Raw genomic sequence first — 24,042 nt, forward strand, 5'->3', positions numbered from 1 at the left:
CTCTAGAAAATGCTAGAGGAATCTGCATTTTCTCTTGTCATAAAGGCACTGCCTTAGGCCTAGATCTTTGAGCTAGTCTTGGGATAAGGGCTGTTAGCTGGAAAATCTTGTGGTGTGTCTAGGCCAGCCTGGCCTCTAGAATACTACCACCAGTTTGGGACCGGGCGCGGTGGCTCACGCCTGTAATCCCAAGCACTTTGGGAGGCCGAGGCAGGCGGATCACGAGGTCCGGAGATGAGACCATCCTGGCCAACATGGTGAAACCGTCTCTACTAAAAAATATAAAAAAGTTAGCTGAGCGTGGTGGTGGGCGCTTGTAGTCCCAGCTACTCGGGAGGCTGAGGCAAGAGAATGGCATGAATCACGGAGGTGGAGCTTGCAGTGAGCTGAGATTGCACCACTGCAGTGCACTCCAGCCTGGGCAACAGAGCGAAACGCTGAGACTCTGTCTAAAAAAAAAAAGAAAAAAAGAAAAGAATACCACCAGTCTTGGGGGGGCTGGAGGCTCCACACTACTTACCTCATTGTAGCCCACAGCCTCGCCTCCCCTTGTTGCCCACAGGTTGAACAAGCTCCTAGGAGAGGCCCTTTCCTAGCTCCCCTAAAGCAAAGAAGGCCCAATTCAAGCATCAGTCTTTCAAGAGTGAGCTTCATTTCTCTATTTCTTTTCTTTTCTTTTTTTTTTTTAGAGACTGAGTCTTGCTCTGTCGCCCAGGCTGGAGTGCAGTGGCACAATCTCAGCTCACTGCAACCTCCGCCTCCTGGGTTCTAGCAATTCTCCTGCCTCAGCCTCCTGAGTAGCTGGGACTACAGGTGCATGCTGCCACGCCTGGCTAATTTTTTGTATTTTAGTAGAGATGGGGTTTCACCATGTGACCCAGGCTGGTCTCGAACTCCTGAGCTCAGGCAGTCCACCCACCTCAGCCTCCCAAAGTCCTAGGATTATAGGCATGAGCCACTGCACTCGGCCTATTTCTTTTTTTCTTTTTTTCTTTTTTTTTTGAAAGTCTTGCTCTATGGCCCAGGCTAGAGTGCAGTGTTGTGATTTTGGCTCACTGCAACCTCTGCCTCCGGGGTTAAGGCGATTCTCATGTCTCAGCCTCCCAAGTAGCTAGGACTACAGGCACGTGCTACCACACCCAGCTAATTTTTGTATTTTTTTTAGTAGAGATGGGGTTTCGCCATCTTGGCTAGGCTGGTTTCGAACTCCTGACCTCAAGTAAGTGATCCTCCCGCCTTGGCCTCCCAAAGCGCTGGGATTTCCTTTTTTTTTTTTTTTTTGAGACGGAGTCTCGCTCTGTCACCCAGGCTGGAGTGCAGTGGTGCCATCTTGGCTCACTGCAACCTCCGCCTCCCAGGTTCAAGCGATTCACCTGCCTCAGCCTCCCAAGTAGCTGGGACTACAGGTGTGTGCCACCACGCCTGGCTCATTTTTTGTATTATTATTATTATTATTATTATTATTATTATTTTGAGATGGAGTCTTGCTCTGTCACCCAGACTGGTGCAGTGGCCCAATCTCAGCTCACTGCAAGCTCCACCTCCTGGGTTCATGCCATTCTCCTGTCTCAGCCTCCCGAGTAGCTGGGACTACAGGTGCCCGCCACCACGCCCGGCTAATTTTTTTGTATTTTTAGTAGAGACGGGGTTTCACCGTTTTAGCCAGGATGGTCTCGATCTCCTGACCTTGTGATCCGCCTGCCTTGGCCTCCCAAAGTGCTGGGATTACAGGCGTGAGCCACCGCGCCTGGCCTGGGATTTCAATATCTTAAAAATCCAAATCCATTGGTGACTCTTTCCCTGTTTTGCTCACCTTCCTCACAACTACCTTGAGGCAAAGTCACTGAGGCCCAGAGAGGGCAAGGGAGTTATTGGTCTGGGTCTTGTGGCTAGTGTGAGGCGTGTTCAGTTCTAAATATGACCCAAACACTTTAGGTTTTATTATTATTATTATTATTATTATTATTATTATTATTATTATTACTACTACTACTATTATTATTTTGAGACAGCGTCTTGCTCTGTCGGCCAGGCTGGAGTGCAGTGGCACCATCTCGGCTCACTGCAACCTCCACTTCCCGGATTCAAGCGATCCTCCTGCCTCAACCTCTGGAGTAGCTGGGATTACAGGCATCCGCCACCACGGCCGGCTAATTTTTGTATTTTTAGTAGAGACAAGGTTTCACCATGTTGGCCAGGCTGGTGTTGAACTCCTGACCTCAGGTGATCCACTCACCTCGGCCTCCCAAAGTGCTGGGATTACAGGCGTGAGCTACCGTGCCCGGCCAGGTTTAATTCTGATGATGAAATTCTGTTCCTGTTGTAGAGCAGCAAAGAATTATTTGAAGCACCTATGGAGAAATGCTGGGTACCATTTCCCTGTGGGGACCCTAGAAGATCTAGAGGAGGTTCGGCAAGAGGTTCAAAGTGGGGGCTCCCATCAGCTGGAGTTCGGGTGCTCCTGCAGGAGGGGCCCTCCTAAGGACAGCCTAGGGCATGGGCAGCATGAAGACCGGGTTGCTGGGGCCCTGGTTAGCCCCACTACCCCCAGTTTTGGTGGCGATTATCCTAGAGTCTCAGTTCGGGTCAGACGAATTGTTCTGTCCATGTCCCTGTGAAGGCTCCGTGTGGCGAGACGCAGGGCCTTGGGCAGGTTCGGGCTGGGGATAGGGAGAGCTCCCAACCTTGGTAGTGGCTCCAGATGCCCCCCAGGTGAGCCCAGCAGAGTGGACTGCCAGGAGCAGCTCTGGGCCGAAGAGGGAGACAGTGTCCGCGGCCTCCCAGGAGGTGGCGCCAGAGGATTAAGTCGCCAGCGGTGGGCGGGGCTGAAGAGTCGGGCTGTGGGCGGGGCTAATAACGCCGCCAGCTCCCGGAAAGCGCTAGCCTCCGGAGGCCGGCCGTGGGTCGAGCTGAGGCCGCTCGGGAGCGGACGAAAATCTCCGGCAGCGCGGGGCCGAGCGGGGCTGTGGGCAGGGCTAAGGCCGTGGGGCCGGCGGGCGGGCGGGGCGAAGCCCGCGAGTAGCCCAACCGCGGGGAGCCAGTCCGAGCGCGGCCGCTAGCTGGTGGTGTAACTAGACTTGTCTTCTCTCCACCACTGCCGCACAGTCCCTGAGGGCATCGGGGCGAGTGTAGCTGCAACTGGGGAGCCTGTGATTCGCCAGTGCCCTTCTCCCTAGGCAAGGGAAGCGAGCAGGCAATAAGAGGGGCGAGTCTGGGGCCCAGGCTTCCGCTACCGAGACCCCAGTCAGCAAACCTTTAATTCAGAGGTGGGGAACCAATAAGGAGCCCTCCTGTGCGTACTCCCTCGCCTTAGCGTTTGCCTGCCTCCAGGCCCCGTGCCCCGCGGAGCCAGCGCGGGACCTGCACACGGTATAGATAGAGCTCAGCGCTTGCAGGGCCTCTCTGTCTCTCCTTCCTCCAGCCAGAGAGCTCCTGAGGGCACCGCCTAAAGGGGGTAGCCTGATAGGGTACTGTGAGATCTGGGAGGGTACTGGATGGAGATGAGGTGCCTCCACTTGTGTGATTGGGTCCCCCTGCTTGGCACTAGAAGCAGACGTGGGATGAGGCTGCTGGCGACTTACTCTTTCCCTGAGTGGGGGTACCCTGAAACCCCAGGAAACACCTTTCCCAAAGCAGTCTTCACAGCTCTAGGCATGCATTGGAACAGCAGGGACATCCAGTTGGGAGCTGGCCAGGGCCAGGGCTGAGGGTGCTGTTGTCTTCTGTCCGCATGGTGTCGCATCCTTAGGCTATAGAGGGCAAAACCAAGTTTGGAGCCTGCCAAAATGGTCCAGAGCTCACGCCAGACCAGCTCCCTTTCTAGGGAATTGGAGCCAGTAGTCTAGGATCACTTCCCACTTCCGTTGCAAAAGGTCTTGAGAGAGGCCGGGCCTAGCGGCTCACGCCTGTAATCCCAGCACTTTGGGAGGCCAAGGCGGGTGGATCACCTGAGGTTAGGAGTTCAAGACCAGCCTGGCCAACATGGTGAAACCCCGTCTCTACTAAAAATGCAAAAACTAGCCAGGTGTGGTGGTGCACACCTGTAGTCCCAGCTACTCGAGAGGCTGGGGCAGAAGAACCGCTTGAACCCGGGAGGTGGAGGTTGCAGTGAGCCGAGATCTCGCCACTGCATTCTAGCCTGGGCGAAACTCTGTCATACAAAAACAAAAACAAAAACAACAAAATCAACGTTCAGTTGGGACTTACTGACATTATAAAACCTAAACAGTTAATTTTCTTCTGCACCGTGGCCTGGCCACAGTACAAACTGGATAATGTCAGTTACTGAGTTACTGGCCGGAAAGTGGCACTTTCAAGCCCCAACTTCAATGCAATCGTTTTTTTTTTTTCTTTTTTTTTTTTTTGAGGCGGAGTCTCGCTCTGTCATCCAGGCTGGAGTGCAGTGGTACAATCTCAGCTCACTGCAACCTCTGCCTTCCAGGGTCAAGAGATTCTTTTGCCTCAGTCTCCCTAGTAGCTGGGATTACAGGTGTGTACCACCACACCCAGCTAGTTTTTTGTATTTTTAGTAGAGATGGGGTTTCGCCATGTTGGCCAGGCTGGTCTCAAACTCCTGACCTCAGGTGATCTGCCCGCCTTGGCCTCCCAAAGTGTTGAGATTACAGGCGTGAGCCACAATGCCCAGCCCAAACAATCTTTTTTTTTTTTTGAGATGGAGTATCGCTCTGTCACCAGGCTGGAGTGCACTCCACAATCTCGGCTCACTGCAACCTCTGCCTCCCAGGTTCAAGCGATTCTCCTGCCTCAGCCTCCCGAGTAGCTGGGGCTACAGGCACGTGCCACCACGCCCAGCTAATTTTTGTATTTTTAGTAGAGAAGGGGATTCACCGTGTTTGCCAGGATGGTCTTGATCTCTTGACTTCATGATCTGCCCACTTCGGCCTCCCAAAGTGCTGGGATTACAGGCATGAGCCACCGCGCTCGGCCCAGCCCGAGCAATCTTAACAATTTCTTACAACAAAATGGCAACTGGTCCGAGGTCCCTTATATCCAAGATTTCATGTATTTACACTCAAAACTTTCCCTCTATCAGTCTTGCTCCCCTCATCAAGTTTTATTGCTAAACGAAAACTCCCAGTCCCCTTTTCACCCCTCCCCTTCAGCCCCTGAAAGGAATTTCAACCCTGCTGAGGAATGTCCACCATATCTCCAGCCCCAGGCTCCCCAAGAGCCGCCAGCACCATTGCCATCTCTCTCATTCCCCTATCCACCTGTCACTCATTCAAAAAACAATCAGGGCTGGGTGCGGTGGCTCATGCCTATAATCCCTGCACTTTGGGAGGCCAAGGCGGGCAGATCACCTGAGGTCAGGAGTTCAAGACCAGCCTGACCAACATGGAGAAACCCCGTCTCTACTAAAAATACAAAATTAGCTGGGCATGGTGGCACATGCCTGTAATCCAAGCAACTTGGGAGGTTGAGGCAGGAGAATCTCTTGAACCCAGGAGGCGGAGGTTGCGGTGAGCCGAGATTGCACCATTGCACTCCAGCCTGAGCAACAAGAGTGAAACTCCATCTCAAAAAAAAAAAAAAAAAAAAAAAAAATCAGACCCCGGCCACCCTTCCCCTTTGCAAAGTAGCTGGGGCAGAAGGCATAGTCAGGGTTCATGTTCCCTTTTCAATCTCAGACATGTCGGAGGTTGAGAGGCTCCTTGGCTCCTTTTCCACTGGCCCATCCCACTTCCAGAAGGAATTTCTTTATATTACTCAGTCACATAACCTTACTTGGCATGACATTTATGTTATCCTGTCAGCCACTCTCACCCTAGATGAGAAAGAGCATATTTGGCTAGCTGCTCAAGCCCATGCCGACACACTTCATCAGCAGGATACAGTCCATAATCCTGTTGCGGCCATTGCTGTTCCCCTAGCCGACCCCGAATGGACTTAACAACAGGGGGACCCTGGCACCCAATGCCGTAACCATATGGTCACTTGTCTCGTGGCTGGCATGGAAAAATGTGCCCATGCCGATAAGGTAGTAAATTATGAAAAAATTAGAGAAATAACCCAAGGCCCAAATGAAAATCCAGCTCTTTTCCTATCAAGGTTATTAGAGACTATGCTCAAATACACAAAACTAGACCCTGAATCACAAGAGGGTCAAACCTATCTTCACTTACATTGCATTTCACAATCAGCACCAGATATCAGGAAACAGCTGCAAAAACTAGAGGAGGGACCCCAAACCCCACAAAGGGACCTTTTAAATCTGTCCTTCAAGGTCTTCAACAACAGGGAGGAAGAACATAAAGTGCCAAAGGAGAAACAGGCTAAGATTAAATACCAGATGCTGGCCATTGCCCTCCAGAGAGGTTCCAAGGAGAAATCACCTTCTCAGGGCCCCGGCACCTGTTTTTGACGTGGCAATCCGGGACACTGGGCAAAGGCTTGCCCAAACCCATGGCCTCCAACAAAGCCTTGCCCTATATGTGGCAAATGGGGACACTGGAAAATGGACTGCTCTCAACAAGAATGCCCTTCCCATTCAACAGCATCCTCCAGTCAGTCCCCAAACCCACCACAGGGACACCTCTCCTCTTTGTTGACACTAGCAGCTGAAGACTGACGGTGCCCGGGATTGCTTGTACCCATGCCATGTGAGTCTCCAGAACCCGGGGTAATTGGGATGGCATCTGGTAAGCCAGTCTCCTTCTTATTGGATACTGGGGCAAGTTTCTCAGTTCTTCCAGAGTATTATGGACCCCTAAATTGTTCCTCTATTTCTGTTGTTGGGGTTGATGGCCACCCTACCGCTCACTCTCAAACACCTCCATTATACTGCACCTTATTCAATACTGCCTTTACTCACTCATTTGTAGTAATTCCACAGTGTCCTACACTCCTTATTAGAAGAGATATAATCAACAAATTTGGGGCCACATTACAATTGAATGCCTTACCGTAGGTGCCTGCATACTTGCTCCTTTGCCAGCCAGAAAACAATGAAGCCCAAACCCAGTCCTCAACAATTTCAATCCAAGGAGTTAACCCAATGGTATGGGACACTTCTCAGCCCACTGTTGCCATATACCACCAGCTGTTTCTAATAAAACTTAAGGCCCCTTCCCAAATTGTTTCACAACCCCAATATCCCCTCAGTCAGGCTGGACTTAAGGGAATAAAACCCATCATCACCAGATTACTAAAAGCTGGCATTTTAACAACCACCAATTCCCCCCACTGCAGCAAAATTAAAGGGCATAGCTCCCTGGATACATTTCTCAAAACTTAAAAGGGCTCCTCCTCTTAATCCCAACCTGTCTCAATTTTCTTGTTTTCTTACAGGACCCACCAAACTCAAGATCACTTGACTCCCCACAATTCTTTAACCACCAACTCTTTCAGTAATTTTATTTGCTGCCTTGTAGAAGACCTTTCCTGGTATCCAGGCTCCCCCCACCCCCCATAATTTATTTCTCCTCCTTTTATGAGATATGGCTGCAGGAAACTTTTGCAGACTGCACTCCATCTCAAATGTCCTTTTTTTCTTTTGTTCTTTGTCTCCTTCTAGTACCACTCTTCCCCTTACTTAAACCATACCTTGCAGCTGTCTTACAACTTACTAAAACAGGCCAACTTAGGCTCCACAGAACTCTGTTGGGTCTGCATGCCCCCTTTGTTCCCAATATACCATTATCTCCCTGGACCTTTAGAAGCCTGGACCAATTCCTTGGCAACCCTCACCATTACTAAAACTACCTTAGGATCTGCATTCTGGGAACCAAGTACTGATCCTGCCACAGCCATAGCCAAAAAGGTGCATCAGGCCGTTCTCAAACAACTAAAAACTTTATCCCCTATCCAAAGCCTCATGGTTACAGGACCTATAGGAACCACCACTCCACTCACTACTCAGGCCCCTATATGTTTCACCTGCTCCTTAAACAGAGTTCCAGAAGGGTCTTTAAAATGCTCGGACTGTAACCTGCCTCTTTCTCTCTCTCACACAACAGATTGTAGTTATTCCTCTACAACAGGAGCAAGTGACCCATTCTCATCAGTGACCCAACTCATCAGCCAAAGCCACGCCCTCTTACCCCTTAAGATTTTCTCTCCCTATATGTAGTAATGCTTATGAATGTAACCAAGAGTCAGATTTTTTTTGTTTTTGACACGGAGTCTTGCTCTGCTGCCCAGACTTGAGTGCAGTGGTGAGATCTCGGCTCACTGCAACCTCTGCCTCCCAGGTTCAAGCAATTCTCCTGCCTCAGACTCCCAAGTAACTGGGATTTCAGGCACCCACTACCACTCCTGGCTAATTTTTGTATTTTTAGTAGAGATGGGGTTTCACCATGTTGGCTAGGCTGGTTTTGAACTCCTGACCTCAAGTGATTCACCCACCTCGGTCTCCCAAAGTGCTGGGATTACAGGCGTGAGCCACTGCACCCAGCCTCAAGGGTCAGATTTTTGCAGTGGGTGAGGGCCAGCTAATACATTGCCTTTATTCAATATCTATGGTAGACATGAAAAATCCAAATGCCAACTTCTTCCCCTTCCGGGTCCAACCCAATTCTTTCTTGATTCATCTGAACACAGACTATTCTCAGAAATACCTTTGGTAACTCATTACCCCCTTCTCCAACTATTAACCGATGACCACCTAGCTTCCTCTTTTGTGTCATTTGAATGGGAAGGAGGATCAGGTCGGGATGCCTCAAACTACCACATATTATTTCAAGCAGATGTTGCTGCCTGTGTAGCCCCCTCCAGCCCTTATTTCTTCTCATGTGGACATAATTTCTACAACTGCCTGTCTGTTAATTGGACTGGAACTTGCACTTTAGCTTAGTTATGCCTCCCTTGTCTGTTGCCACAAAAGACCAAGAATTTCTCCTGCCACTACACACACAAACACACACACACACACACACACACACACACACACACACACCCCAAAACAAAAAGGGCAATCCAGGTAATTCCAATCCTCGCTGCTCTCGGAATCTCTTCTGCAATAGGCTTTAGTTCCACAACTTTATAGCTTTTTCAGTTTCCCTGTCTAGCCAACTAAAAGAGGGACTAATGGAAATAGCAACTCAACTGGATCACATACAAGATCAAATAAACTCCCTTGCAGCAGTAGTACTTCAAAACCATAGGGGACTAGACATCCTCACTGCAAAAAAGGGAGGTCTATGCCTCTTCCTGCAAGAAGAATGCTTTTTCTTTCCTTTTTTTTTTTTTTTTTTTGAGACAAAGTTTTGCTCGTTGCCCAGGCTGGAGTGCAATGGCATGATCTCAGCTCACCGCAACCTCTGCCTCCTGGGTTCAAGCAATTCTCCTGCCTCAGCCTCCCAAGTAGCTGGGATTTCAGGCATGAGCCACCACGCTGGGCTAATTTTGTATTTTTAGTAGAGATGGGGTTTCTCCATGTTGGTCAGGCTGGTCTCAAACTCCCGACCTCAGGTGATCTGCCTGCCTCGGCCTCCCAAAATGCTGGGATTACAGGCGTGAGCCACCGCGCCCAGCCAAGAATGCTGTTTCTTTACAAACAAATCTAGATTGGTAAAAGAAGGAATATCCAAACTTAGAAAGATTGCAGAACGTCTACGCAAACAACCCGCCAATGACTTTTTCAGTTCTTTCCTCCCTTGGGTACTCCCTTTCATCAGTCCTTTCATTGTTTTTACCCTGCTTGATAAATTGTTGTCTTTTTGTTTTTTTTTTTGAGATGGAGTCTTGCTCTGTCCCCCAGGCTGGAGTGCAGTGGCCCGATCTTGGCTCACTGCAAGCTCTGTCTCCCAGGTTCACGCCATTCTCCTGCCTCAGCCTCCCAAGTAGCTGGGACTACAGGCACCTGCCACCATGCCCGGCTAGTTATTTGTATTTTTAGTAGAGATGGGGTTTCTCCGTGTTAGCCAGGATGGTCTCGATCTCCTGACCTCGTGATCCACCCGCCTCGGCCTCCCAAAGTGCTGGGATTACAGGCATGAGCCACTGCGCCCGGCCACTAAATTGTTTTCAAAAGTTCATTTTAGAAAGAGTTACTTCAATTGCTCAGGCCACCACAATGGGACATATAAAGGTGGCATTCCTGCCACAGAAAGAGTGAATGACTTCATCACCAGAGGAAGGCTACCTCCCCCCACACCATCACCCCTAAACCAGCAGGAAGCAGTCAGAACGAGTAGCTACCCCTCTGCTAAAAACCCTATCCAAAGAGATAATTAAAACAAAGAGGGGGAGAATATGAGGACTAACAATAGTTATGCCATTTTACAACCTTGGCTACTGTGTTCTCAGAAACAAAGCAAATGTCAACCCTGCCTATAGCTTCAACAGAGCATAACAGCCCTAACTACATCTACCCCCAGCTGGAAAAGTCCGCAACAGTCCCAGCCAGCCAGCACTTCCCCAACCCCTCCCCAGTAGAAACTTTATTATAAAAGCCTCAGCTTGTAATCGATCAGGGTCTCAGGCAGACTCCTGACTGGGACGCCTCGCAGGCTTATTCCTGTAAATAAACCTGTTTGGCTGTTGAGTTTCCTCCTGTCTCTTGCTCTCTTCCTATGCATCTTCCTAACAGTTTCCTGGGGGATGCTGAAGATGTGTATTCCTGGACTTCTTTGAGGAGCACATGGTATGCTTGGGGCAGGGGGTAACTCTGCCTTCCTGTGTCCAAAGTAATGATTAGAATGCATATGAGAGGCTGAAAAGGTACTGAGTGTGACCCCAGTGGCTCTGACTCAGCAATCACTGTGCCCCAAACCCTGCCCTGGGTTCAGGCAGCACATGAGCTTACTCCTGGAACTCCATCCTCCTCAGAGAGGCTCATGATCATGCAGGGCTAGGAGACGAATGTGCCAACCCTGTGAGCCCCAAGAAGATCCCTGGAGCAGAGCTGGAGATGGAAGGTGGGCCTGGTTGGAATCTCAGCTGAATATGTGACCTTTCTTGTTCTCTTGGTAGCAGATGATGTCCCTTGCCCAGCCTTAAAAGGAATTTTCAGTCTGTACTGTCAGCTCATTGTCAGAAAGACTGCCTTCTCAGAAAGCTGATGTCCATGCCAGGCCTTCCAGCTGGAGGGGTTTTTTAATACATACATAGCTGTGGTAACCCAGATGTGGCTACCTGACTGATACCTGCTACCACCCAGCCCAGAACCTGGAGGAGCCAAGAGGGGTTCTCCTCAGACAACCCTGATGCCTGAGTATGATTTTAGTGCTCATGGCCTGGCCTGGTGATGCTGTGACTACACCCACCACTATAGGGCAGGGTAGTGGTCCTGTACTGAGGGCCAGAAGTCAAGCTCTCCAGGTTCAGGGCCTGGTTTGAGCAGCAGACAGGCAAAGACCAGACTTCGAGATCACAAGCTCAGTGAGGGCAGAAGAGTTTAGCAGTCTTGGTTTCTGCTGTATCCTGTGGGCCTGGCACAGTGCTGTCCTCATCCTAGAGCTCAAAAAGTGCCAATTTTTTGTTTGTGAGACAGAGTCTCACTCTATTGCCCAAGCTGGAGTGCAGTGGCACGATCTCAGCTCGCTGCAACCTCTGCCTGCCAGTCTCAAGTGATCCTCCCGCCTCAGCCTCCTGAGTAGCTGTGACTACAGGCTTATGCCACCACACCTGGCTAATTTTGTATTTTTTGTAGAGATGGGTTTCACTATGTTGTTAGGCTGGTCTTGAACTCCTGGGCTCAAGCCATTTGCCCACCTCAGCCTCCCAAATTACTGGAATTACAGGCATGAGCCACCGTGTCTGGCACTATGGACCTTTCTCCTTGCCACAAGGCTCTTGCTTCACTATCAGGGACTCATTCCCTACCCCATTCTATCTTTCCTGGAAGGCAGAAGCTTTTCCAGTGGCTTCTGGGAGCTCCCTGGGCACTTGGTAAAGATGATAGAACAAACAAGCCCCTACTACAATCCATTCTGATTAGGACAGAGATAGAGCTCAGTGGAGAGAGTGGCTATGTCCCGTGGCCTGAGATTCCTGATGGTAAAGGGTGATTCTCAGAAGTGTCCTTGGGTTTGCAGTAGAAGAGCCACAGAGGAGTCGGGAGGTAAGGACCTCTCTGAGAGACTTCCCTAAAGACATGCAGAACTGAGTCTGATGGAGGGGCTGAGCAAGCTGCTCTTTCCCATGAGCAGTCAGAGTCATGCCTGAACCACTGTTGGCTGGGGTAGGACATGTGGGCTGGTCAGGAGAGGGCATAAGTGCATGACTTTCCACCCGGGCCTGTTCTCCCCCAATCTATGAAACAGACATGGGTGGGGGACATGATCACAATAGAGATTCTGGTGACATTTTCTGTAGTTTATTGGAAATAATTTGTGTGCCTATCACTCTCTTCCTGCAAACAGAACTCCTCAAGGGCAGGTCTCACAGTCTTCTCCAGGCCTGGCACTGAGTAGGAGTCAGGTATGCACTGGCCAAAGGAGGATGACTGCCTGCATGCATGAGATAGGCAAAGCCAGCCCAGAGGCTTGTCTAGGGGAACACAAAGGAACAAGGGATGCAGGATGTTTTTTTCTTTTTTTTTTGAGATGGAGTCTTGCTCTGACGCCCAGGGTACAGTGCAGTGGTGTGATCTCGGCTCATTGCAACCTCCGCCTCCCGGTTTCAAGCGATTCTCCTGCCTCAGCTTCCTGAGTAGCTGGGAGTACAGGCGCCCGCCACCATGCCTGGCTAATTTTTGTATTTTTAGTAGAGACGGGGTTTCATCATCTTGGCAAGGCTGGTCTCGAACTCCTGACCTCGTGATCCGGCTGCCTTGGCCTCCCGAAGTGCTGGGATTACAGGCGTGAGCCACCACACTCGCCTGGGATGCAGTATGTTTTGACTTGGATGCTTATGACTTGGAGGAACCATGTCTTCATTATTTTTTCTTGTCATAACAAGCCTTCAGAATCATGTAACTCTAATAGCAATGGGCCTTAATTAGCTTTCTTGGGAGCAATGCATGGGCAGTGGGGTTAGGCTGGTGGCAAACATTTCTGACAATTTTTTACCGCCTTTTTTTCATATAATGCAAGCAAAGAGTTGCCAGTTGCAACAGCAAAGGAATTATGTAGGCAAGGCATCAAGCAAATTCTGTACCTTCCAGCCTTATTCCTTTCTCCTGCTTTACCAAGGGCCATGGCCAGCTTAAGACCTCAGTATACAATTGAGGTTGTCCAGGCCAGCCCAGGTAGGCTGCTGAGCAGAACGAAGATACAATCACTTGTTTGTAGCCTCATGCCAGCTTAAGGCTCGCTTAGGGAACCACCTTATTCTCTATGTTAGTGGGCAGTGCCAACAAATCTCAGCCAGGAAAGAAAGCCTCTGTTTCTTTGGGCTTCCTTCCTTCCTCTTCAGTTCTGTTTCTCTCTCCCAAAGAAGGAGTGGGGCAGGAAGCCAATTTCCTGAGTTGCTTTTCATTGGGAAGTGAGACAGGCCTCAGCAGCACTTTAGCAAAAAGAAGGGTGCAGAGTTCAAGGAGCCTTGTAGGCAGGAGACAGGTCTCTCAGCCTCTCTGGAATAGTCCAAAGTCCATGGCATTATATCCTCTAGATACAGCCTGTCCTGTGTCATCCTTCTCTATTGTCTTCCTCCTCTGATCTCTCTAATGCCTACTCTTGCCTGCAAAGTTTGCCATTCTTCTTCACCCCCATAGACATCTTCATCTTTGGATCTCGTGCCTCCCCACGGAGGCTGCCATGCTGAAAGGATCAGCCCAGGGTAAACTGGACTTATGGGGAAGCAGGGAAGAGTCTGAGCTCTACCCCTTCTCCCTTTCTTGGGGATGACCGGCATGATGCTTTGCCTACGGCACAACTACACCTCTGGGTGTAGTTCCTGAGGTCCTGTCATCTCTTCATTCTTCCACGATTTGCCTTCTGGTGACTAATCATTTCTACTAATCCCAGCAGTGAGTTGGCTCTGATTGGGCCTTTTCCCACATGGATTTTTTTGTTTAGTTTTGTTTTTTTGAGACAGGGTCTTGCTCTGTCACCCAGGTGGGAGTGCAGTGGCACCATCACAGCTCACTGCAGCTTCAACCTCCCAGGCTCAGGTGATCCTCCCACCTCAGCCTCCCGAGTAGCTGGGACTACAGGTGCATGCCACCACACCCAGCTAGTTTTTGTATTTAGTAGAGAAAGGGTTTCGCCATGTTGCCCAGGCTGGTCTTAAACTGCTGAGCTCAAGCAATCCACCTGCCTTGGCCTCCCAAACTGTTGGGATTACAGGAGTGAGCCACTGTGCATGGCCCTGGATGGCTTTTTGTTGTTGTTGCTGTTTTTTCTGATTCCATTTTCCCTCTGGTCTTCTACAAGTGTCTGAGAACATAGGCTGGAGAAGCAAGCTGGCACATGTCTGTTGGTTCCATTTAGGCATGTGGATTGATTGTCCTCTCATCTGGCCATCTCCAAAATGGCTGCCATGTGTCACATGTTATGCTGAAGTGGGAAGAAGATATTTCAGCAAGTGAAGCTTAGGGGACTGGGAAACTCCTGCAGGGTCTCTAGGTCTATCCTGTCCCTGGTGGGGCAGCAGTTGGACCCAGGAGGACATGATACTTGACACACCACACAGCTGGCTTGCATAAACTGAAAGATTTGTTTATTCATTTGTCATAAAGCATAGTCAAGCCTAGTGAATTTTCCTGGATGAGTGAAGAGAGCTCATCAACAACCCCTCCATGAGGAGAAACCAGATGCAATCCCAGCACTCTCCCTGTTACTTATTAGCTCAGCAGCTAAAGCCAAAGATCTCTCTGAGTGCTTTTAAGCCTGGTGATTGGTGGGCCCTTTAGAAGCGCAGGTGAGGGAAATGCTCAGAGCGTCATGGAGAAGCCAGCACAACCATGAGCCCCAGAGGGCCTGCTGAAGGCCAGCCCAGGGGATAGGACCAGTCAGACAAGGTCCTGCTGTTGAGGAGCCCCAGTCTAGATCAAAAGGAGGTAAACAGCCTCTGGGACAGTGAATGGAAATGGGAGATTGAATCAGAGCCCCAGATAACCAGAGGCCAATACCATCCCATGGTCCACAAGAGTCCCTGGGCTGAATGTCAAGGGTGAATGAACACAGGGCAGGCATGTTCCTGGGGATGCTCCTCAAAGGAAACAGAACTGGGAGAGTTTGAGAGGAGAGGAGGGGCACCTCTAACCCACATTTTCAGGTCTCCTGGGTCCACTGTGCTGTGCCCTTTGTCACCAGGGCAGCAAAGACCCTGGAGGTCTGCTAACAGCCAGGAATCCACTCTGAGGAGGGCAACTCCCCAAGCCTGCAGGCTGGGTAGAGCTAATTAACCACACAGGAACCAGAGGCATGTTGATTTAAATCTGTGGAAAGCCATAGCTCCTGTGGTTTCTACAAAAACAAAAAAATAAACATCCTTTCCCCTGTTTCAAGTAGCCCAACCCACACTGACTGGGGTCTGTGAAGCTATAACAGCCTGGGTTGGGACAAGGTCAGGCCACTGGCCTGCCCATAGTGTTTGTGAGCATATTCTTCCCCAGGAGGAAATATATGGCACAAGACCGCCACATCCCAGACCATCACCAGGGAGACAACTAATAACAGAGTTGTCATAAGTATACCAGGCACTTGTCCTGGTGTTTTACCTACATCAGGCTGGGTGCATTGACTCATGCCTGTAATCCCAGCACTTTGGGAGGCCGAGGTGGGAGGATCACCAGAGGTCAGGAGTTCAAGACCAACCTGGCCAACATGGTGAAATCCCATCTCTACTAAAAATACAAAAACTAGCCAGGTGTGGTGGTGGGCACCTGTAATCCCAGCTACTAGGGAGGCTGAGGCAGGAGAATCATTTGAATCCGGGAGGTGGAGGTTGCAGTGAGCCGAGATCACACCACTGTACTCCAGCCTGGGTGACAGAGCGAGAGTCTGTCTCCAAAAAATAAAAATAAAAAAAATAAAATGAATAAAAAATAAAATATCTACATCAGCCACTCTACCCTTACAATCCCCCATATTCGAGGAGCTACTAAGATTCTAACTTTGCAGAATAGGAAATGGAGGCTCAGTGAGCCTAAGTCAGTTGCCAAGGGTCCTATCGGGGCTGAGGTGCAGACTCTTTTGGAGCCTAAATGTGCACATGTAGTCACCACTCACGAAGCTGTATCAAACATCCTGCAGCACAGGAGGAAACACAGCAAGGACCATCATCTGCAGGAAGAGAGGCTCTCTTCATCCTAGGTCATCCCAGAGGGGCCAGGCAGTTTAGCGTGAAAACGGGAGGTATGAAGTCAGGAGAAAATATCAGGAAGTGGGGGCTCTGCATTTCCTCTTTCTCTTACTTGCTCCATCCCAGAGGTCGGGAGGAGCAGCTCGGAGTGCACAGGGGAAGGCCCAGGGAGGGTCCTGGCCCCTCCTCACAAGAACTGACACAGCCACCGGTCTGTCCAGCAGGCTGGCTATCAGCATTCACTGGGATCCCTGGATTATTCTAGGTTCAGTTAGAACTGCTAACACCCTATGTGATATATTTCGCAACATTAGGAGAATTGAATGGGTTTGTAAAATGGGTTCAAGTTACTCACGCCTTTCTACACAGTCATGATTTATGACGTCAGAGATGAACTGGAATATAGGCTCCTAGGAAATATTCTCCCACAGGAAAGTACAGGCTTGTGTGAGAAGCCACCACGGCAGACAATCCTGAGTAGCGGGCAGAAACCGGCTGTAAATGTGAGGGAGCGGGGAAGTAATTTGGAAAGCTCTCAGGGTAATGCAGAGGCAACCTGCGGCCCCGCATCGAGACAGCTCCAGGCCTGAGAACCATCAAGTCCTCTTTTCCATCCCCAAGGTCACTCTCCCAGGGCTGACTGAGGTGGCCTCCCAGCTGGCTTCACACAGCCCTGTCACACCTTCCATCTGTGCCCGGGGCGCTTCCTGAGACTCCCAGTTCCTCAGTGTGAATCCCAGATGGTTCCCATCGCCATCTGGATAAAGGCTCCACTCCCCAGCTGGCCTTAAAGACCCTCACAATCCGGCCCGACCACCCAGCACCCTCCCTCTCCTTCCCTCTACGACCTTGCGTCTCTGAATACACTTGTTCCTCTGCCTTCCCAACTCCTATGCATACTTTTGAGGCCATTCTCGGGTAGCCCCTCTCCTCTCCGAGGCCTGTCCTTATGACGCCTGCCCGCTGTGGCACTCCGGTTACCCGGAGGAGAGTTGCTACTCTCGAGTTCACCGAGGCGGAAAGCCCCTCTGACTCCAAAGCAGGGCTCAGCGCGACGTCCCAGAGGCCGCTTCTAGTGGCAGGTGCCCCTCCTCACAGGGCCCTCGCAGCCCCGCCGGCCCCCGCCCGGCTCCTTCTCAGCATGATACAACCGCGTCGGCCCTGGACAGCGCATGCGCGGGCGCCGGCGGCTGTTTCCCAGCGACCCCGAGGCTGGCGGGAGCGCGCACAGGGGAAGGGGGGCGTGTGCAGGGAAGGGGGCGCGAGACGCGCATGCGCAGCGGCAGGCGGCGGCGCGAGCCGAGCTGGGAGATGGCGGCGGCAGCGGCGGCGCCGAGAGTGTGAGCACCGCCCGGGAGCCGCCGGCCCGGGCGCAGCGCGACCCCGACCCCGCCCGCCCGCCTGCCCGCCATGGGCAACGAGGTCAGCCTGGAGGGCGGCGCTGGCGACGGGCCGCTGCCGCCCGGCGGCGCCGGCCCCGGCCCGGGCCCCGGCCCCGGCCCCGGCGCAGGAAAGCCGCCTTCAGCACCGGCCGGTGGCGGACAGCTCCCCGCGGCGGGAGCAGCGCGGTCGACCGCGGTACCACCGGTCCCTGGCCCCGGCCCCGGCCCCGGTCCCGGCCCTGGCCCGGGCAGGTAAGCGCGTGTCTCGGCGCCCGGGGGGCGGTGAGCTGCAGCCTGAGGCCGGGACCCGGGCCCAGGATCCCGCGATCTAGTGTGGACAGCGAGGTTCGACGTCCGGCCGCACTCTGAACCCTGCCGGATTGGCGTGAACTGGGTGGTCGCGGGAAGCGGCCCTTCCTTTCCAGCTGCCCCGCCTTGGCGTGGCAGGATGACGAGCGCAGGGTCAGTCGGGGCCTGCAGACCGTGACTCCGTCACGAACCCCAAATTCGCTTCTCCCCAACGCTCGGGCCTGACTGCTCAGGAGGGGCTTATGTAACCTTAACCTGGTCCCTCCGCACAGGAGAGCAATGGGATGGAAAACGTCCTCCCTGTCTGCTGGTGTCTGCATGTGTCCATTGTGCTGGGCCGAGAAAACAGCACAATGGGAGTGGCTGTCAGGGAAGATAAGTGTCACTGCGAGGAACAGAGAGATGAAAATAGTTGAACCATGAACTTGGTCTTGGGCTTTCCTTGGGCATTTAGTGGCTGTAATCACCTTTGGGGGAAAGGAAAATTGCCCACTGGACACCAAGAGGTGCTTATTTAGGCCCAACAATACTAATAGGATCATGTGCTTTCACCAAGGTTTAGGGAAACATTTTGGGGTGAAGCAAAAATGCTATTGAGTCATCCAGCACCAGATATGTTCTCGTTACCTTATGATTTAGATCAAACCAGTGGAAAAGCTGAAACCCACACAGAATGCTTTAAACAGAACATATCTGATTAAATACTGTGAAACCAGTTTGTTTTAAATGTATGCCAACCCAGGTCCTGCAAAAACAGTCAAGTGGCAATGAAGGCTGTAAGGGAATGCCAATATATAATAAGTCAGTAGACTGAAAACTCAGGAAAACTACTAAGAGATGACACGATAAAATGGAAGGCATTATCTTTGCACCAAATAGGCTTGGGGAGTAGCAAAACCCCCAGGGGGTGGGAGGGAGGTGCTTCCAGCTCCATGTGGGTCTGCTGATATATGTTGCCCTGGCTTTTCTGTGTGGAAGCACATAAACTGAGGACGCATAATTTTTTATTCTTTGGCTGCCCGACTGTGCCTCTTGTGTGTTTATTTCCTCAGAAGTCATTTCTTAGACAACTAACAGTAATGAAAGGCTGTTAGTAGCTTGAAACCTGCGGCAGACAGGTCAGCCTGTGAGCATCCTTTTTAGAGGTGGGATTTGTCCATTTTATACTAGCTATAATAGTAATGCAGTTGGATAGCACACAGCTCTTAGCACTGCAAACACTGTCCATTTTGCTGCATGTTGAGTTGCTGTTTGGGTTTTAGCTTGAGGGAGGCTCACCCAGGCTTTAGTGTTCTCCTTCCAAGGGAAAGCTTCTGTAGCTGAATGGAAAAACACCTTGTTATTGAGAGTTCCCTGTATGGGGAATTTGTCATTTCTCTTCTGATAACCAAACAGGCTGCTCTGCTTGTAGTTTATCAGATGTTGCAGAGCCAATCATATGAAATTCTGGAAAGACCTGGGCAGCTCAGAGGGACCGGAAGGAGGCTGATGTCTATTGCTCATATGCCTTTTTAGTGTTTCATTTGTACTTCATCTGTACATTCTGCTGCAGGCAGACCCATGAACTGCTGTGGGTGAGGCGAACCACGGACTCCTGATGGATTTAGTAGTCACACAATCTCTTACCTGGCTGTGGGCAAGGCTCATACCTGAGCCTGTGGTGCTGAGGTCCTGTGACTATCAGACTCAGGAGGTGAGCTGGCTATTTGTCCCCAAAGCTCAGAACCAGAGACCATTAGGAGGTGGGATTTACTCCTCCAGCTGATATTCATTTTATCATAGCACCTCAGCTGAGCAGCAGCTCCATGGCTTATCTCTCCTTTAGTATTGCAATGGCTTCTACTTCCTCTCACTAGAGCATCTCAGATACCTGATGCCAAATTTAGCATGTTCTAAGATGCTGCTGAACAGATTGGCCCATTGATGGGGAAAAAGCCCTGTGAATGTGCTTCTGGGCATTCAGGAAAGAGCATTAGCACAAAGACATATTTGCTTTCAGTAAGATTTTGAATTTCGGGGCAGTCAGAAACCTCATAGAGGTGGGTAGAAGGCCAGGTAAAAGGGAGATGATTCTGGGGGAGTTAAATGCTATTGCCATATTACCTTGTCATCCCAGGCTGAATTAGTCTTTTCATCCTCATACTGAGCTGAGTTGGACTCTGTGAGGGGGTGGCTCCAGCATTTGCTGCTGAAGAGCCTGACTTGAATCCCATGAGTAGCAGTGCTGCCACACCCATAGTGGTGCCTCTTAGCCCGTCGGGATGATGTGGAGCTTTGGGCATTGGAGAGTCCCTCAAGGAAGGGCTCTCTGCTTCTGGTGTCAGGGTGGCCATGTACAATTATATAATCTGTGCCTTTTCCAAGGAGTGCTGGTTTGGGAGAAAGCTGAACTCTAACCCAGGCTCCACTCTCCAAGCTGTGTGCCCTGGTGTAGGCTGCATCCTCTTAGATGAAGGGGCATCATTCACTCGTTAATTCATTTACTTATTTATGGAGATATGCCTAATGTACAGTGGAACACACATATTGATGGGATTTTATTTATACATACACTCGTGACACACTACCAGATCAAGACAGAACTTTATCAGTACCCCAGAAAGTACTTTTTAAAATAATTACACGAAGGAGCCATGTAGACCAGTGGCAGCCTGTCTAGTTTACACCAGCTCTGTGGACTTGCACCTGTCAGTTTTTTTTTTTTTTTTTTTTGAGTTGGAGTCTCGCTCTGTCGCCCAGGCTGGAGTGCAGTGGCACGATCTCCGCTCACTGCAAGCTCCACCTTCTGGGTTCACGCCATTCTCCTGCCTCAGCCTCCCGAGTAGCTGGGACTGCAGGCGCCCACCACCGCACCCAGCTAATTTTTTGTACTTTTAGTAGAGATGGGATTTCACCGTGGTCTCGATCTCCTAACCTTGTGATCTACCTGCCTCGGCCTCCCAAAGTGCTGGGATTACAGGCGGGAGCCACTGCACCCGGCCCAACTTGCACATGTTTTGATGTTTGCAAATTGATATCTAGTCGATCAGCTAAGGTGTATTTGTCAGCTGTCAAGAGCAAGCACAGTTATTGGCTTTGTGGATGGTATGGAAAGGATATATAGTGCTTCCCTGTCCTTCAGCACCTCACAGACTGGTTGGTCAGATAGCTCTTGAAGAGCCAAATCATGGAAGAACCCTAAGAGAGACACTGTGGGCAGCTCAGTATCTGAGAAATGTCAAATAAGCAGTGCTTACAGGGTTGTTAATTGGGAAGAGTGGAGAGGCACAGCTAAGCTTTAGGAGAGGTAGAGATGTAAGGCTGGAAAAATGACTGGGTTAAGAGAGGTAGAGATAGAGATAAATGGCATAAAGAATGTGGTCTACACAGGCAGGGACAGTGAGCAGAGAATGAGGCTGAGTGCAGGGTGGTGGGGGAAAGCCAGGGCAAAGCCAACAGAGGCCCTTCTCCATCATTGCCCATCAGAATGCGTAATCAATGCCAAAGTCGCCTCTCTTCACTCCTGGCCCATATGTTATTGAGACAGACACCCTAAGCCAAAGGCAGCTAGGCACAGAGAACCTGGTTGTTTACTGGAAGGTGGGCAAGGCTGCTCTGAGAACCATACCCCGAATTCCTTTTTCAAAATGGATTTGTCAGGCATAGTATCTCTGGTCTGGGATTAGTCAGACTTGTTACATTATATCAGCCAACTCAGCCTCTAGAAAAATCTGGCACTAACTTGTAAAGATAAAATGAAAGGACATAATTGCCAGGTCTGGAAATAATGCTCCTTTGTCACTTAGAGATCTTCTTTGTCCCCAGTGGCTGGATCTCACAGAGGGTATGTCATGGAGTGTGAATTAAAGTGACCTTACATCTGAATGGTGACGATGTCAAAATTTTACCCAGAGGGCAACCATTTTTGCATTTCTCCAGGGAAAGCAGGCTACTTTTGATAATACAGTTGCTCACAGCATCATTAAGACTAATAAGGTGCTGTTGATTTAAAAAATGTAAAAATGTAATGGAGACATTAGGAGGAGAAATACTGTCTTTTGTTTGTTTGTTTTTTGTTTTTTGAGACAGAGTCTTGCTCTGTCGCCCAGGCTGGAGTGCAGTGGCGCGATCTCGGGTCACTGCAACCTCTGCCTCCCGGGTTCAAGCGATTCTCCTGCCTCAGCCTCCTGAGTAGCTGGTATTACAGGCACCCACCACCAGACCCAGCTAATTTTTGTATTTTTAGTAGAGACGGGGTTTCACCATGTTGGCCAGGCTGGTCTCAAACTCCTGAGCTCAGGTGATCTGCCCGCCTCAGCCTCCCAAAGTGCTGGGATTACAGGCATGAGCCACTGTGCCTGGCCGAGAAATGCTATCTTAAACATTTTTTTTTTACTATGGAAAATTTCAAACATACATGAAAGTAGAGGAAATGGTCTAATGAACTTTTGTGTTCCCATTGCTTAGCCACTGCCATCATCAACTTATGGCCAATTGAGTTTAATTTATCTCTCTCACATCCTACCCCCTAGAGAAGCAAATTCCAGACATCCCAAAATTTCATCATCAGTATTTCAGTTTGTATTTCCAAGAAATAAGGGCTTTGCATGAACATAACCACAGCACCACAGCCACATCTAAATAAGATAATGATCTCTTCTTAAACTCAGCAAATATTCAGTCAGGATTCTACTTTTCTGATTGTCTTATGAATTTACTTTTATTATTGGTTTGAATTGTGATCTAAACAGGGTCTACACATTGAATTTGTCTGATGCATCTGTCTAGTTTCTTTATGTATTTTCTCTCCTTTTTGCTCCTTGCAGTTTATTATTAGAGAACTATGACATTTGTCCTGTGGTTTCTCATATTCAGGATTATGCTGATTGCATCCCTGTGGTGTCATTTAAGATGTTCCTCTGTCCCATGTTTTTCTTGTAAACTGAGAATTCTGTCTAGAAGCTAATCAGATTCAAATTTTATTCTTTTGGTCAAGAAATTCTAGCTTTTTAAAAAAGAGTTTATTGAAGGCTTCAGACATGGAGAGGCTGAGAGTTCACTGAAAGCAGAACCAGGGTTTGGGCTAATTGGGAGCCAAAGAACAATGCAGTGGACCACTTTTCTGTTCCTTTTCTAAAGATCTCCTTCCTCTGAGTCAGTTTGGTTCTGAGTTTAAGAAGTCAAAGCTTTCAGAGGAAAGTTGTTTTTTTTTTCCCCCAGAAAAGTCATGCCTTTCACCCCAGTGTGGGGGAGCCCTCCCTGCATATGTGAGTAGGAAGCCTCCTACTCACATTTGGGGGCTTAATAAATCTTTCCCCTTATCACAGGTCCTGCATTTCTGAATTGGGCCCTTTCCTCTTGTTAGTTGTGGGGGTGTGGAAGGCCAGACCTACTATGTGTGGGCTATGTGAGGGGAACCTGTTGCTGGAGCCTGTGGGCCATGTGCAGTAAGTTGGGGCTAACTGTGAAGGTAGGTTGGCAACACTGTAATAGCAGTTATGACTACCATTACTGAATGACTGCCTCATCACAGACATTCTGCTAGGTGTTTTATTTCTTATTCCACCTGCTTGGCCATTCAGCTTCTGCAGGCCCTGCCTGTCCTGACTTTACTTACTGCCTGGGGACTGACTTTTTAAATGGTAAAATGGTGGCTAAGCCCTGCATGCCTACAGCAAGGGCTGACTGTCACTTTAGGACATGAGGCCCTCTGGGTAAGCTGGGACTTGGTGAACAATCTAGCTGTGGGGGACTCCTGCTCAGTCCTTTCATTTGGTGCCAGGAGCATGTCATGCTGGTATTGATCCTGCATTTGTAGCACTTGCCCGAGCTCCTTTTCTGGAGGGACCTCTGCCATCTCCTCTCACTAGCACAGTGGTTGAAGCTGTGGAGTGAATTGGGACACTGGCCTGTGGGCTCCTGCCTGTGGTAGGGGTGATAGAATTTTGGTGTCTCACTCTCTGTGGTTCCTTCTGTACAGATCGGGCTTCTAGTGGGGGTCTGTTGCCCCCTAGCATTCTCTTGGCCCATTTGTCTTATATTTTAGGTTCTGGTCAGCTCTGCTGTGGAATGGGATACTCCCTGACACATCTGTGTTGTGCCTTGGGCTCCCAGGCTGGCCACAGGGCTGCTGTGATCTCTCCTTCCTATTATTCGTCTTTACGGGCACATAGGGTTCTAAAGAGAGCTTTGCTCTAGCAGAGACCTGGGGCCCCTACTTCTT

The 24,042-nt window shown here is 50.1% G+C and overlaps 1 protein-coding gene and 1 long non-coding RNA gene across 6 annotated transcripts in view, besides 4 other annotated features; one reads left to right on the forward strand and one right to left on the reverse strand.

The window, feature by feature from the left end:
• Positions 213 to 713: an enhancer, noted in NCBI's record as "H3K27ac hESC enhancer chr3:49574689-49575189 (GRCh37/hg19 assembly coordinates)". NCBI's record gives its function as "activates a minimal SCP1, AML or CMV promoter by ChIP-STARR-seq in primed H9 embryonic stem cells {active_cell/tissue: H9 hESC(primed)}" and the evidence as "EXISTENCE:reporter gene assay evidence [ECO:0000049][PMID:30033119]".
• Positions 2,920 to 3,149: a silencer, noted in NCBI's record as "silent region_14367". NCBI's record gives its function as "represses an Ori minimal core promoter by ATAC-STARR-seq in GM12878 lymphoblastoid cells {active_cell/tissue: GM12878}" and the evidence as "EXISTENCE:reporter gene assay evidence [ECO:0000049][PMID:35858748]".
• On the reverse strand, positions 12,263 to 17,323 carry BSN-DT (BSN divergent transcript). Its single transcript, NR_038866.1, has 3 exons — positions 16,998 to 17,323; positions 16,505 to 16,644; positions 12,263 to 14,399 (listed from the first exon to the last, which is right to left on the reverse strand). It is a non-coding gene; the product is annotated as a BSN divergent transcript (long non-coding RNA).
• Positions 17,242 to 17,541: a silencer, noted in NCBI's record as "silent region_14368". NCBI's record gives its function as "represses an Ori minimal core promoter by ATAC-STARR-seq in GM12878 lymphoblastoid cells {active_cell/tissue: GM12878}" and the evidence as "EXISTENCE:reporter gene assay evidence [ECO:0000049][PMID:35858748]".
• Positions 17,434 to 24,042, forward strand: part of BSN (bassoon presynaptic cytomatrix protein) — a 118,654-nt gene continuing 112,045 nt past the window's right edge. For all 5 annotated transcript variants that reach the window (XM_047449150.1, NM_003458.4, XM_047449149.1 and 2 more), the window contains exon 1: positions 17,434 to 17,783. In XM_047449150.1, coding sequence (XP_047305106.1) covers positions 17,560 to 17,783 — 224 coding nt within the window. In that variant the 5' untranslated portion in view covers positions 17,434 to 17,559. The remainder of the gene's footprint in view (positions 17,784 to 24,042) is intronic.
• Positions 17,612 to 17,821: a silencer, noted in NCBI's record as "silent region_14369". NCBI's record gives its function as "represses an Ori minimal core promoter by ATAC-STARR-seq in GM12878 lymphoblastoid cells {active_cell/tissue: GM12878}" and the evidence as "EXISTENCE:reporter gene assay evidence [ECO:0000049][PMID:35858748]".

Source organism: Homo sapiens, chromosome 3 (genome assembly GCF_000001405.40).
Source record: "Homo sapiens chromosome 3, GRCh38.p14 Primary Assembly".
In the NCBI taxonomy this organism is placed as follows: Eukaryota; Metazoa; Chordata; class Mammalia; order Primates; family Hominidae; genus Homo; species Homo sapiens.